The sequence below is a fragment of the Homo sapiens genome, chromosome 4 (assembly GCF_000001405.40).
Source record: "Homo sapiens chromosome 4, GRCh38.p14 Primary Assembly".
In the NCBI taxonomy this organism is placed as follows: Eukaryota; Metazoa; Chordata; class Mammalia; order Primates; family Hominidae; genus Homo; species Homo sapiens.
In genome coordinates this window covers 39654014-39668785 of record NC_000004.12, presented here as the reverse complement: position 1 = coordinate 39668785, position 14772 = coordinate 39654014, and the positions used below count along the sequence as shown (strand labels likewise).

The 14772-nt window shown below is 43.5% G+C and overlaps 1 long non-coding RNA gene across 4 annotated transcripts in view, besides 1 other annotated feature; it reads right to left on the bottom strand.

Moving 5' to 3' along the window:
- Positions 1-2121: 2121 nt before the first annotated feature.
- The window catches only part of SMIM14-DT (SMIM14 divergent transcript), a 27525-nt gene continuing 14874 nt past the window's right edge, over positions 2122-14772 (bottom strand). For 3 of the 4 annotated variants that reach the window (NR_183842.1, NR_183843.1, NR_183844.1), the window contains one exon: positions 2122-2663. This is a non-coding gene — a long non-coding RNA (SMIM14 divergent transcript). Of the gene's footprint in view, positions 2664-8169; positions 8350-14772 lie in introns of all 4 variants that reach the window. The other variant, NR_183845.1, reaches the window with a different exon arrangement.
- Positions 10951-11151: a silencer, noted in NCBI's record as "peak5027 fragment used in MPRA reporter construct". NCBI's record gives its function as "represses an SCP1 promoter by STARR-seq MPRAs in K562 erythroleukemia cells {active_cell/tissue: K562}" and the evidence as "EXISTENCE:reporter gene assay evidence [ECO:0000049][PMID:32103011]".

The window sequence follows — 14772 nt, the reverse complement described above, 5'->3', positions numbered from 1 at the left end:
CAGTAATGAATAATAAAAACTATCATTTATTGAGTGGCCAGATCAAGCTTTAAGTGTGTGTGTGTGTTTGTGTGTGTTTGGGGTTTTTTTGAGACAGGGTCTTGCTTGCTCTATCATCTAGGCTGGAGTGCAATGGCACAGTCATGGCTCATTGCAGCCTGAACCTCCTAGGCTCAAGCAATCCTCTCGCCTCAGCTTCCCAAGTAGCTATGACTACAAGTGCATGCCACCACACCCAGCTAATTTTTAAAATTTTTTTATAGAGGCTGGACATGGTGGCTCTTGCCTGCAATCCCAGCACTTTGGGAGGCCGAGGCAGGTGGATCACTTGGGATCAGAGTTTGAGGCCAGCCTGGCCAACATGGTGAAGCCCCCTCTCTACTAAAAATACAAAAATTAGCTGGGTGTGGTGGTGCATGTCTGTAATCACAGCTACTTGGGAGGGTGAGGCACAAGAATCGCTTGAACCTGGGAGGCAGAGGGTGCAGTGAGCCAAGATCGTGCCACCGCACTCCAGCCTGGCTGACAGAGCAAGGCATTGTCTCAAAAAAAAAATCTGTATATATCTATATATAGATATATATAGATATAGATATATATTTTGTAGAGACAGCGTGTTAGTGTGTTGCTCAGGCTGCTCTTGAACTCCTGGCCTCAATCCGTCCTACGGCCTTGTCCTCCCAAAGTGGTGGGATTATAGGTGTAAGCCATCACACCTAGCCTTGATAGATTACTTTTAACTTAGTCCCCTCAAAAACTTTCTAAGTATTATTGTTTTAATTTTTATTATGGGAGAAGGATTGAGGACCTGTAATGCCTACATGAGTGTGGTCTAGTTTTAGCTAACCACGTTTGTTTTTCCAAATATTGTTGGCTGCCTTTTCTTTTAATGACCACTGGGAAAGCAGAAAGAGAAGTATGCCTGGAGAAGTTGTAGAGAAAGTAGTAGCTGCTTTTTTTTGTTTTGTTTTGTTTTTGTTGTTTTCAGGGAGTTAAGAGGTGAAGGAAATGATGTAGATTCCTAAGGGAAGAATTTTAGGGAAGGAGTCAGGTTCTATTTTTTGCTCTGTTGCCAAGCCTGGAGTACAGTGGTGCAATCACGGCTCACTGCAGCCTTGACCTCCTGGGCTCAAGTGATCCTCCCACCTCAGCCTCCCTGGTAGCTGAGACTATGGGTGCCCACCATCATACATAGCTTTTTTTTTTTTTCCGAGACAGAGTTTCACTCTTGTTTCCTAGGCTGGAGTGCAATGGCATAACCTTGGCTCACTGCAACCTCTGCCTCCTGGGTTCAAGGGATTCTCCTGCCTCAGCCTCCCAAGTAGCTGGGATTACAGACATCCGCCACCAGTCCTGGTTAATTTTAGTATTTTTAGTAGAGACATGGTTTCACCTTGTTGGCCAGGCTGCTCTCAAACTCCTGACCTCAGGTGATCCACCTGCCTTGGCCTCCCAAAATGCTGGGATTACAGGTGTGAACCACCGTGCCTGGTCTAATTTTTGTATTTTTGGAAGAGACGGGGCCTTCCTATGTTAACCAGGCTGGTCTTAAACTCCTGGGCTCAAGTGATCCTCCTGCCTTAGCCTCCCTAGTGCTGGGACTACAGGCACCCACCATCATTCCTGGCTAATTGTTGTATTTTTTGTAGAGATGGGGTTTTCCTATGTCGCCCAGGCTGGTCTGGAACTCCTGGGCTCAAGCGATCTGCCCACTTTGACCTCCCAAGGTGCTGGGAATACAGGTGTAAGCCACTGCACCCAGCCAGACCCAGGTTATAGAAGATGATTTTTATGAATATTTTGCTTTGTTATGTATAATATAATCCCCATTATTTATTAATGCCTCCAAAATTGGGGTTTTTGTTGTTACTGTTTTGTAATGAGACCATGTGTGAAACTGGTCTCAAGGAAGGCCCTGGGGGAGAGAGAGCTAACCCCAAAGTAGCTCCACTAAATTTGCATTACAGGAGGGTCTCAGAGAATTTGGTGTCCAAGTGTCACTTTTGGAGTGGTGGAACTGGAATTGGAATTCAGCCTCAGCTGACTCCAAGGCCCATACTTGACCCTGCAGGTGTCAGACCAAGGAAAGTAGGATTCCTATCAGGAAGAAAGAATGCTTAGTTTAGGTCCACTTATTTTTTAGTGAATTTATGCTGTGCCTTGTTTTTGCCACTTTTCTAAAGATTCACAAACCATTTGTCTAATTATCCATTCCAGAATTTTGCCAAAGAAAAATGTGCTCAGAGACTTATAGGTTCTTCTTTTAGAAAACAAGGAGATTAGTCCATCTTCAAACTTCTGGCACCTCTCCTGTCCCCAGTAAAGCTACCACCACATTTCACATTCTTTCGGTAAGACAGAGAATGAAGTTGTGTGAAGGGGCTGGATGCTCTCTTACTTCCTCATCTGCCTTGCACGTAAATTTTTTCTTTACCATGTAGGTCCTACTCCTTCTAATTTGAGGATAATTCTCTGTAACGGAAAAATGATGGAAAAGTAGGAGTTGATTGAGTCTGCTTTTTCCTCTCTCATCTGTTATCATTATACCTTCTGTTCCTTGTTCTTCTTGCTCAGAACATTGACTTTCCTGAAATTGCCATCACATATTAGTGTTACTAAACACTTTTATTACAAGTTAATATTTTTATGACAGGTGCTTTGAGCTAAAAAAAAGAAAAAAGAAAAAAAAAAGAAAAGAAAACCAAGTTAGTATTTTTGGACTAACCTATTACAATGCATCACAGACAGTTCAATACAAAATCTTGCTTTTCAAAATGTCTTACCTATTTCGATGCGTTTTTATAGCTGTTCCTTTATGTAACAAGTAACTGCAATTCACAAAATATCCTATTTATAATATTTCATCTAAAATGTAGAGTTTCAGGCAGTAATTCAACCAATTTACTGCTAAAATAGAGGCCTTATAAAATGGTAGGAACAGAAAGTGAGTTCTATCTCTTAGAAAATACAAAATGATAATGCAGGAAAAAGAAGAGATACTATCCTAATAGAAATTTTTAGACCATTTTTTCCTCTTCCAAGTTATTCATTCTCTCTGAGGAGGTGAACTAGCCTTACATTTTAATACTTGATTTGAATTTCTATATATTCTTTATTTTAAAAAGATATTTGCATCATTTTGTATTTTCCTGAATGGCTAGCAAGAAACCCTCTTCAAAGTAAGTGGTTAAATTCTATGTTCAGTTGCTTCATTTGTGTGATTTTGAACCTCAAAAGAGGTGACTCAGAGCTGACTCTTTGGGTGAATTTCTTACAATTCAGCCACTGCAAAGTTTATGCTTGGCATTTTCAGCATTCTATCTCTTCTCTGTCCTTCCTAAGCTCTCTTTATGTGGCAGGATTTTCAGTTCAGTTCAATAAACATTTCCATAACAGCACTGTCCTTTGCATTAGATTGTGACTGGCGTCAGTCCCAGCCTTTAAGGTGCTCAGAGCCTAGTTGTGAAGACAGCCATGTCAATACGTAACACAACAGTGTGTGATGTATGAAACAAATGAACTATGTGCAAGGTCGTGAAATAGTGCAGAGGAGGATATTCTCACTGTGAGATTCAAGAAAGTGTCACAGAACACCAGCAAGTGGTTGCAGGCACCAGATTTGAAAGGATGAATAGGTATGCAGCAAGAAGTCAAGGTGGAAAGGACATTCCAGGCAGCAGAACACCATGTACAAGAGCATGATGTGTGCAGGAAACAAAGAGATTTACAATGTTCCAGTGCAATGCATAAGGTGGAGAATGGGATTCAGATGTAAAGGAATTTGAACTTTGTCCTGTCCTGCAGAGGGTTTTAAATGGGGAAATGACATAGTTAGAGAAAGATCTCAGAAAGAACACCCTGGCAACAACACACAGGATGATTTGTGAAGAGCTGACTCTAGGCAGAATCACCAATTAAGAGATTATTTTATTAGTCTAGGCAGTGATCTAAGAATTGGTACTGAAAAAGAGAGAATGCCAAAACTTAAGCTGACTTAGAAGTTACATTAACAGGATTCAGTGATTGTTTGGATGTGGGAAAGGGAGCTGGTAAGATGGTGTGATAGTTAATTTGGGGTCAACTTGGGTGGACTAAGGGATGCCCAGATAGCTGGTAAAACATTATTTCTGGATGTGTCTGTGAGGGTGTTTCTGGAAGAGACCAGCATTTGTATCAGTTGACTGAGTAAAGAGGGTCTGCCCTCATAAATGTGGATGGGCATCATTCAATTCATTGGGAACCCAAATAGAATAAAAAGGTGGAAGAAGAGGCTGGGCGCGGTGGCTTACGCCTGTAATCCCAGCACTTTGGGAGGCTGAGGCAGGTGGATCACTTGAGGTCAGGAGTTCGAGACCAGGCTGACCAACATGGTGAAACCCTATCTCTACTAAAAATACAAAAATTAACTGGGTGTGGTGATGCACACCTGTAGTCCCTGCTACTCAGTAGGCTGAGACAGGAGAATTGCTTGAATCCAGGAGGCAAAGGTTGCAGGGAGCCGAGATTGCGCCATTGCACTCCAGCTTGGGTGACAGAGTGAGACTCCGTCATGCGCGCGCGCGCGCGCACACACACACACACACACACACGTGGAATAAGGGCAAATTCACTCTCTCTCTTTTTGAGCTGGGGCATTCATCTTCTCCCATGCTTAGACATTGGAGCTCCTGGTTCTTGGGGTCTTCAAATTCCAGGACTTTTGAATTTCTATATCTTTATTTTTGCCTTGCTATATTTGATAAGACCTCTGATACAATATAATGGAAGTAGTAAATGTGGTTATCTTAGCTTTATTCCCAGTCTCGAGGAGAAAGCATTCACTATTTTACCATTAAATATACTAGTTGTAATTTTTGTACATGTTTCTACTTAAACTTCAAAGGAAGTTCTCATCTATTCCTAGTTCCCTGATAATTTATGTCATGAATGGTTATTAAATTTTGTTGAATGTTGGGCCGGATGTGGTGGCTCACGCCTGTAGGCCCAACACTTTGGGAGGCTGAGGTGGGAGGATTGCTTGAGCCCAGGGGTTCTAGACCAACCTGGGGGTAACATACTAAGACTCCATCTCTCTCTCTAAACAAAACAAAACAAAAAAGGCCAGGTGCAGTGGCTCACACCTGTAATCCAAGCCCTTTGGGAGGCCGAGGCAGGTGGATCACTTGAGGCTTGAGGTCAGGAGTTCAAGACCAGACTGACCAACATGCTGAAACTCCATCTCTACTAAAAGTACAAAAAAAAAAATAATTAGCCGGGCGTGGTGGCGGGCGCCTGTAGTCCCAGCTACTCAGGAGGCTTAGGCAGGAGAATCACTTGAACCTGGAAGGCGGAGGTTGCAGTGAGCCAAGATCATGCCACTGCACTCCAGCACGGGTGACACAGCGAGACTCTCTCTCTCAAAAAAAAAAAAAAAAAAAAGCATCTATGTAGTGTGGGGAAAAAAATGAAAAAAAAAAAAAAGAAATTTTGTCAAACGCTTTTTCTGTGTTGATAAAGACTTTTCTGCATAGCTTGGTTCCTCTCTAATGCCTTGCCCCAGAGATTTCACTTAGCTCAGTGGTCCCAGACTCTCGTATCTACAACCTCAGTCAGCAGGACCGCTATGCTCTGCTCAGAATCAAGCCCTCTGCATTATAGTTAGGGAGTTGTCCCCAGGCAGACAGCTGATCAATCATGGGGCTCACCTCATGAGTTTCCTTTCTCTCAGAAATTGCAGTCTTCTGCTGTTTACTTTATTCTGCCTGAATATAGTTACTACATATGTTTTGTCCAGTTTTACAGTTGATTTCAGTGGGAGAGCTATCCACTATCAATTGTTCCACCATGGTCAGAAGTATAAGGCAAACACAGCAAAATTTCTTTTTGAGACAGGGTTTCACTCTTTCACCTCGGCTGAAGTGCAGTGGAATGATCATAGCTCACTGAAGCCTTGACCTTCTGGGCACCAGGCCCGGCTAATTAAAAAAAAAAAATTGACCGGGTGCGGTGGCTCACACCTGTAATCTTAGCACTTTGGGAGGCCGAGGTGGGCGGATTAGCTGAGGTCAGGAGTTCAAGACCAGCCTGGCCGACATGGTGAAACCCTGTCTCTATTAAAATACAAAAAAAATTAGCTGGGCATGATGGCGGGTGCCTGTAATCCCAGCTACTCAGGAAATTGAGACAGGAGAATCGCTTGAACATGGGAGACAGTGGTTGCAGTAAGCCGGGATCCTGCCACCACACTCCAGGCTGGGCGGCTGAGCGAGACTCCCATCTCAAAAAAAAAAAAAAAAAAATTATAGGCCGGGCGTGGTGGCTCATGCCTGTAATCCCAGCACTTTGGGAGGCCGAGGTGGAGGGATCACAAGGTCAGGAGTTCCAGACCAGCCTGGCCAATATGGTGAAACCCCGTCTCTACTAAAAATACAAAAATTAGCCGGGTGTGCTGGTGGGTGCCTATAGTCCCAGCTACTTGGAGGCTGAGGCAGGAGAATCGCTTGAACCTGGGAGGTGGAGATTGCAGTGAGCTGAGATCACACCACTGCACTCTAGCCTGGGCAACAGAGCCAGACTCCATCTCAAAAAATATATATAGAGAGAGAAAGATGAGGTCTCACGACATTGCCCAGGCTGGTCTCAAACTCCTGGGCCCAAGCAATCCTCCCAGGTTGGTCTCCCGAAATGCAGGGATTACAAGGCTGAACCAACCACCGTGCCCAGCCCAAACACAGCAAAATTTCAAAGATGGTTTTCTCCTTCTCCTAATTATGGAATGACAAGCTGCTGCTGCTTTTTTTTTTTAATTTTTTATTTTCCTGTATTTTCAGTTCACTGCAGCCTCCACCTCCCAGGTTCAAATGATTCTCCTGCCTCAGCCTCCCGAGTAGCTGGGACTACAGATGCATGTCACCACACCCGGCTAATTTTTGTATTTTTAGTAGAGATGAGGTTTTGCCCTGTTGGCCAGGCTGGTTTTGAACTCCTGAACTCAGGTGATCTGCCCACCTCGGCCTCCCAAAGTCCTGGGAATACAGGCATGATCTACCATGCCTGGCTATGGTTAATCTTATGTATCAAGTTGATTATGCCATGGGGTGCCCAGATATTTGGTAAAACATTCTCAGTGTGTCTGTGAAAGTGTTTCTAGGCACATTTGAGGGCTGGGTGAGGTGGGTTATGCCTGTAATCCCAGTGCCTTGGGTGGCTGAGGTGAGAGGATCACTTAAGACCAGGAGTTTGAGACCAGCCTGGGCAACACAGCAAGATCCTGTCTCCCTAAAAAAAAATTAGCTGGACATGGTGGCACGGGCTGTAGTCCCAGCTATTTAGGAGGCTGAAGCAGAGGATGGCTTCAGCCCAGGAGTTCAAAGCTGCAGTGAGCAAGGATCATACGACTGCACCACTCTGGCCTGGGTGACAGAGCAAGACTCTGTCTCTTAAAAAACAAACAAACAAACAAACAAACAAAAAACAAAAAAAAACAGACTGGGTGTGGTGGCTCACGCCTGTAATTCCAGCACTTTGGGAGGCCAAGCGGGTGGATCACGGGGTGAGGAGTTCCAGACCAGCCTGGCCAACACGGTGAAACCCTGTCTCTACTAAAAATACAAAAATTAGCCGGGTGCGGTAGTGGGCGCCTGTAATCACAGCTACTCGGGAGGTTGAGGCAGGAGAATCACTTGAACTGGGGAGGTAGAGGTTGCAGTGAGCCGAGATCGTGCCACTGTACTCTAGCCTGGGCGACAGAGCAAGACTCCGTCACAAACACACACACACACACACGAAATTAATATTTGAATCTGCAGGCTGAGTAAAGCAGATTGCCTTCCCTAATGTGGGTGGGTCTCATCCAATCAGTTGAAGGCCTGAACAGAACAAAAAAATTCACCAAAAAAACTATCTCAAATACAAGATAATTTTTCTTCCCTTTAGATTCAAACTGAAACATTGCTGTCCTGGTTCCCAGGCCTTCAGACTCTGACTGGAACTACACCATCAGCTCTTCAGCTTGCCACCTCATCCTGCAGATCATGAAACTTGTCACCCTCCACAATCACATGAACTAATTCCTTATAATAAATCTCTTTATATATCTGTATGCATATATATACATGTATATACACACCCTATTAGTTGTTTTTCTCTGGAGAACCCTGCCTAATATTATGGATATAAACACACACATACCTCTTCTCACATTTTCATGATAGTCAACAAGTGAGAATCCATTTCAGGGAATGCTTATACAAACCCACAGGAAGCTGGGAAATACAGGGCTACAACTAAATTCTCACATCTGGTAAATCTCTTAAGGAATATGTCTGCTTCTCTGAGAGCGTGGTTCTTTTCCAGAGAAACATGACAGTTCTAGGAGAAATAAAGGTGACTCAGGAGCAGCAGAACCAAAGAAGACATATCTTCAATCACTCCTAAAAGGGTTACCTTGAGAGATTAGAGTTTGAGCAACCCTCCCATAACATTTCTTGTTCATGCAACTGTCCTCCAACAATCAGCTTTTGCAATTCTCTTTCTGTGGCATCATCTTCGTGGGTTTGGCATTATTATGAATCATATTTTTGTGATCTGTCTTCTCACCATTTGATGACTGATGGCAGCTGAGTGGGGAATGTTTTACAAGAAACGCATCTTTTTTTTTTTTTAATGAGACAGAGTCTTGCTCTGTCTCTCAGGCTGGAGTGCAGTAGTGCAATCCCGGCTCACTGCAACCTCCGTCTCCCAGGTTCCAGCGATTCTCGTGCCTCAGCCTCCCAAGTTGCTGGGATTACAGGCACACACCAACATGCCTGTCTAATTTTTGTATTTTTAGTAGAAATGGGGTTTCTCCATGTTGGCCAGGGTGGTCTCGAACTCTTGACCTCAGGTGATCTGCCTGCCTTGGCCTCCCAAAGTGCTGGGATTACAGGCGTGAGCCACTGTGCCCGGCCACATTTTTTAAACCCTTTCATATGTTTGGTTTAAGTGCTATCATCAACTCACTAATAAATAAATTTGTTTTTTGATTAAGACATGGTCTCTCTCTGTTGCCCAGGCTGGAGTGTGGTGGCACGATCATGGCTCATTTTAGCCTCAAACTCCTGGGTTCAAGCAATCTTCCCACCTTAGCCTCCTGAGCAGCTGAGACTGTGTGTGCCACCACACTCAGCTGATGTTTTAATGTTTTTGTAGAGATAGTATCTCCCTATGTTGCCCAGGCTGGTCTCGAAATCCTGAGCTCAAGTGATCTTCCTGCCTTGGCCTCCCAAAATGCTGGGATTACAGAAGTGAGACACTGTGCCCAGCCCCTAAATAAATGTTTTATGATTCTAGCTTTTTATCTCTAAAATGGAGATAATAATGGTATGCATATATTTAATAAATATGGCAGGAGAACTTCAAAAAGCATAAAACTTTTTTTCTAAAAAATATTATTTTACTTTTCAGATGAACTGAAATGGTGCAAATACAAATGTTATTGCAATAGCCTGGTATGGTGGCTGGCTCATGCCTGTAATCCTAGCACTTTGGGAGGCTGAGGCGGGCAGATCACATAAGGTCAGGAGTTCGAGACCAGCCTGGCCAACATGGTGAAACCCCGTCTCTACTACTAAAAATACAAAAATCAGATGGGCATGGTGGCAGGCACCTGTAATCCCAGCTACTAGGGAGGCTGAGGCAGGAGAATTGCTTGAACCCGGGGGCAGAGGTTGAGGTGAGCCCAGATAGCACCACTGAACTCTAGCCTGGGCGACAAGAGCAAAACTCCGTCTGGAAAAAACAAAAAAACAAAAACAAACAAAATAAAACAAAACAAAAAGAAAACCCCACAGATTGTTGCAAACACTAGAAGGCACTATTTCTCTACAGAGGCAGAAAATGAACCTAACACAAATTTCTTATATCTTAAACTTCTCCTCTTGCCCCATTTTTATTCAAGACACAGAACAAAAAGTGCAGTGTGGCAACTTTTTAAATATAAATATCTACAATGTAATAAGCAGTGGAAAGAAAAATGAAAAGGAGGACCAGTGAGACAAAGAACATATTGAAAAAATGTAAATCCAATAAAAAGAAACAAAAAAAGCTGTAGGCCGGGCGTGTTGGCTCACGCCTATAATCCCAGCACTTCGAGAGGCCAAGGTGGGCGGATCACGAGGTTAGGAGATTGAGACCATCCTGGCTAACACGGTGAAACCCTGTCTCTACTAAAAATACAAAAAAAATTAGCCGGGCGTGGTGGTGGGCACCTGTTGTCCCAGCTACTTGGGAGGATGAGGCAGCAGAATGGCGTGAACCTGAGAGGTGGAGCTTGCAGTGAGCTGAGATCGCGCCACTGCACTACAGCATGGGCGACAGAGCAAGACTCCGTCTAAAAAAAAAAAAAAAAAAGCTGTAAAAGGTGATAAAGGAAAAAAGGGATGAGAAGAAAGGGAAGTAGAAGCAAATTTCCTCCATACAATATAATATATGGGAACTGTTTTCCCTGTCATTGCCCTATGTCATATGTTGAAAATGTTAATTTATAATTACTCAGTGGTTTTCTAGGTCTGCATTGCCTCCCCTTTCCAATCTTCTCACTCATCCTATTTCTCTCAACCATACCTTTCAGGAAGGTTACTGGATGTGTATCAGGACCCATAATGGAGTAAGACAAGGATGAGGGATTTGGAGTTACCATGGAAATGCAAAAATTGTTTTGAAAGTACTGTCTAGCGGCCGGGCGCGGTGGCTCACGCCTGTAATCCCAGCACTTTGGGAGGCTGAGGTGGGTGGATCACGAGGTCAGGAGATTGAGACCATCCTGGCTAACACGGTGAAACCCCGTCTCTACCGAAAATACAAAAAATTAGCTGAGTGTGGTGGCAGGCGCCTGCAGTCCCAGCTACTCGGGAGGCTGAGGCAGGAGAATGGCGTGAACCCGGGAGGTGGAGCTTGCAGTGAGCTGAGATCAGTTTACTGCACTCCAGCCTGGGCGACACAGCGAGACTCCGTCTTGAAAAAAAAAAAAAGTACTACCAGAAAGCAGAAGCAGACAAATTCCTGCTTATTCTTCCCTCCATGGTCATGTCTGGACACTTACCTGGGTGAGACTTACAAAGTGATTGAGATTCTGAGTGATAGAGAACTAGACTATTTGGTTAGGGACTTTTTTTTTTTAACTTCATGGAACTTTAGGTTTCACAGTAGCTTGACTTTCATTTCCTCTCTCTCTCCCTCTCCCCTTCTCTCTCTGAAGAAATGCCTTCTACACCTTTTAATTCTTGACAATTAAAGGAAACCAGGACGAGGCAGCAGAGAACTGGCTGTTTAGGTTTTGATCTCGGTTTAAAGAGCGAACCTGAGGTTGACTTCTATTAGTCCATCTTTGTTAATCAACTTAGGGTGAAAAAAAAAATCCCAGAACTTGAAAATCCCAGATGTATCCAAATCAAACACATGGCTTGTAGCTTTACCTCAGAATAGTGAGAATTCCAAGAGCCCAGGCAATAGTTGTTTGAGTTTCCAATAAAATTTTGCTGGCCGGGTGCGGTGGCTTACGCCTGTAATTCCAGCACTTTGGGAGGCCGAGACGGGCGGATCCCTTGAGGTCAGGAGTTTGAGACCAGCCTGGCCAACATGGTGAAACCCTGTCTTGAGTGAGCATTACTGCCTGAGTTCCACCTCCTGTCAGATCAGCGGCAGCATTAGATTCTCGTAGGAACACGAACCCTATTGTGAACCGTGCATGTGAGGGATCTAGGTTGCGTGCTCCTTATGAAAATCTAATGCCTGATGATTTATAGTTGACAGTTTCATCCTGAAACCATCCCCCTCCCCCTGTTACCCCTACCCCAGCCGGTGGAAAAACTGTCTTACACAAAACCAGTCCCTGGTGCCAAAAAGGTTGGGGACTGCTGAGCTACAGCATTATTGGGAAAATTATATACTATGCCCAACGCATAGCACAAGACCTGGCACATCAAAATTGCTCAAGATGGCCTGGGGCAGTGGCTTACGCCTGTAATCCTAGCACTTTGGGAGGCTGAAGTGGGTGGATTGCCTGAGCTCAGGAGTTTGAGACCAGCCTGGGCAACATGACGAAACCTCATCTCTACTAAAAATACAAAAAATTAGCTGGGCGTGTTGGTGTGCACTGTAATCCCAGCTACACAGGAGGCTGAGGCACAAGAATCACTTGAACCCGGGAGGGGAAGGTTGTAGTGAGCCGAGATCATGCTCCAGCCTGGGTGACAGAGTGAGACTCTGTCTCAAAAAAAAAAAAAAAAAAAGGCCAGGTGCAGTGGCTCACGCCTGTAATCCCAGCACTTTGGGAGGCCAAGGCGAGTGGATCACTTGAGGTCAGGAGTTCGAGACCAGCTTGGCCAACATGGTGAAACCCCCTCTATACTAAAAGTACAAAAAAAATTAGCGGGTATGGTGGCAGACACCTGTAATCCCAGCTACTCGGGAGGCTGAGGCAGGAGAATCGCTTAAACCTGGGAGGTGGAGGTTGCAGTGAGCTAAGATTGTGCCACTGCACTCCATTCTGGGTGACAGAGCAAGACTCCATCTCAAAAAAAAAAAAAAAATTGCTCAACTATTGCTGGCTAATGACTATTAAGTTTCACTTTACCCTGTCCCTGATGGTCTATTTACTCTGCTTGCAAACAACTGGCGGGCAGAGTCATCCATAATTTAATGGCAGTCATTGCTTATGATTTTCAGTATTTGGGTGGAGAACTACTTATCAAAGCCAAGTACTGTGTGTTCTGTTTCTATGTCATGTTTATTCAATCACTAAATAACCACAGTTTCTGTCCTTGGCCTTATATTACTCAGTAGTTCTATGATTTAATCATCGAAATTGTATCTGGTCTTAAATTATGTTTGTAAGTAGTCTTCCAGTAGGAAAAGCAGGCCTCCACCCGTTATAGATCATTCTGCCTAGAAATTTTAGTCATAGATTTTGTCCAGTCCAAATACAAATATTAATATATTGTTTTCTATAATTTTAAGGTAAGACTGCTTAATACTATGTTTTCAAAATATTGCCAAATATCATCTCTTTCATTCTTATCTGCTGGATTCAACTGATCTTATGCTCTCTCAAAACTTTTGCTCTGGCCCTAGTTAATTAATACTCAAGAACTAAAAGTGATTTCTTGGTAGGTTTCTGTTTCCAACTTCTTCCCATTTCAATTCACGTTGGATGCTACAAAACATTTCACAAAACATACCAATTTATCCATGAACACCTTTCTTTACATTTTCTCACACTCTCAGTTTAGATATGAACCATGATGCCCTTAGCTTGGAGTTAGAGGAGACTCTAGATTATGTTTAAACTATATTGTATGTTTGACTATCATAACATCATTTTTTGGAATCTGACCACACTCTTGGCCAACTACATCCTGATATCATAGCAACTGAAAGTGTAGCCAAGTATTTTAATGTCAAGTAAACTGCTATGTGTTGAGGATGGTTGGAATTGGAATTGGAACAGCCAGTTTTGACTTCCCTCTTAAGTAGTGGGGTTCTGAAGTCAAAATATTCTGCTTATTAGTTTTTCTCCATTTCCCCCTAAATTAGGTAATATTCTATCCTTAATATATTTTACCTTTTTTTTTGTTTTCCTTTTTAAAAAAAAAAATAATAGACACAATGTTGCCCATGTTGATCTCAAACTCCTGGGCTCAAGTGATCCTCCTGCCTCAGCCTCCCAAAGTGCTGGGACTATAGGCATTAGCCCAGACTTTTTAAATCTTTTAAACAGGGCACTGATGATAATCTAACTGCATGCCTGTATTGTCTTAGAATATTTTTAGTTAATATTGCTGGGCGCAGTGGCTCACGCCTATAATCCCAGCACTTTGGGAGGCTGAGGCGGGCAGGTCACGAGGTCAGGAGATTGAGACCATCCTGGATAACATGGTGAAACCCTGTCTCTACTAAAAATACAAAAAAATTAGCCGGGTGTGGTGGCACATGCCTGTAATCCCAGCTACTTGGGAGACTGAGGCAGGAGAATCGCTGGAACCCAGGAGGCAAAGGTTGCGGTGAGCCAAGATTGTGCCATTGCACTCCAGCCTGGGTAACGAGAGTGAAACTCCATCTCGAAAAAAAAAAAAAAGAATATATTTAGTTAATATTAATATCTGGCTGGGCACGGTGCCTCACACCTGTAATCCCAGCATTTTGGGAGGCAGAGGTGGGTGGATCACCTGAGGTCAGGAGTTCTAGACCAGCATGGCCAAAATTGAAAAACCCCATCTCTACCAAAAATACAAAAATTAGCCAAGCTTGGTGGTGGGCACCTGTAATTCCAGCTACTTGGGAGGCTGAGGCAGGAGAATCGCTTGAATCCAGGAGGCAGAGGTTGCAGTGAGCCGAGATTGCACCATTGCACTCCAGCAGCCTGGGAGACAACAAGACTCCATCTCAAAAAAAAAAAAAAAAAAAGGAATCATAACCTATCATTAACCAAGTCTATATCTTCCTTAGGCAAATTCTCCTCTAGCAATAATGTCCTGTGAAACAAAAACCAAAAGACATACCCACATTAGCATTTTCTATAGTCATAGTTGGAGCTCCCCTTTTTTCATTCATATTGAAAATATAGACTACTCCTGATAATTTTTGCTGTTTTCATTCAGCTTACTTCTTGGCTCTTCAAAAGAAGTTGTTTTGCTAGAGTTCTTCTCCCCAACAAACATGTGAGTCCAAGCTAAGACTATTCTCTTGTTCTAAGCCTCTCTTTATGCCTCACCAAAATTGTTAGTTTTTTCCTTTTATACAACACATTTATTGACT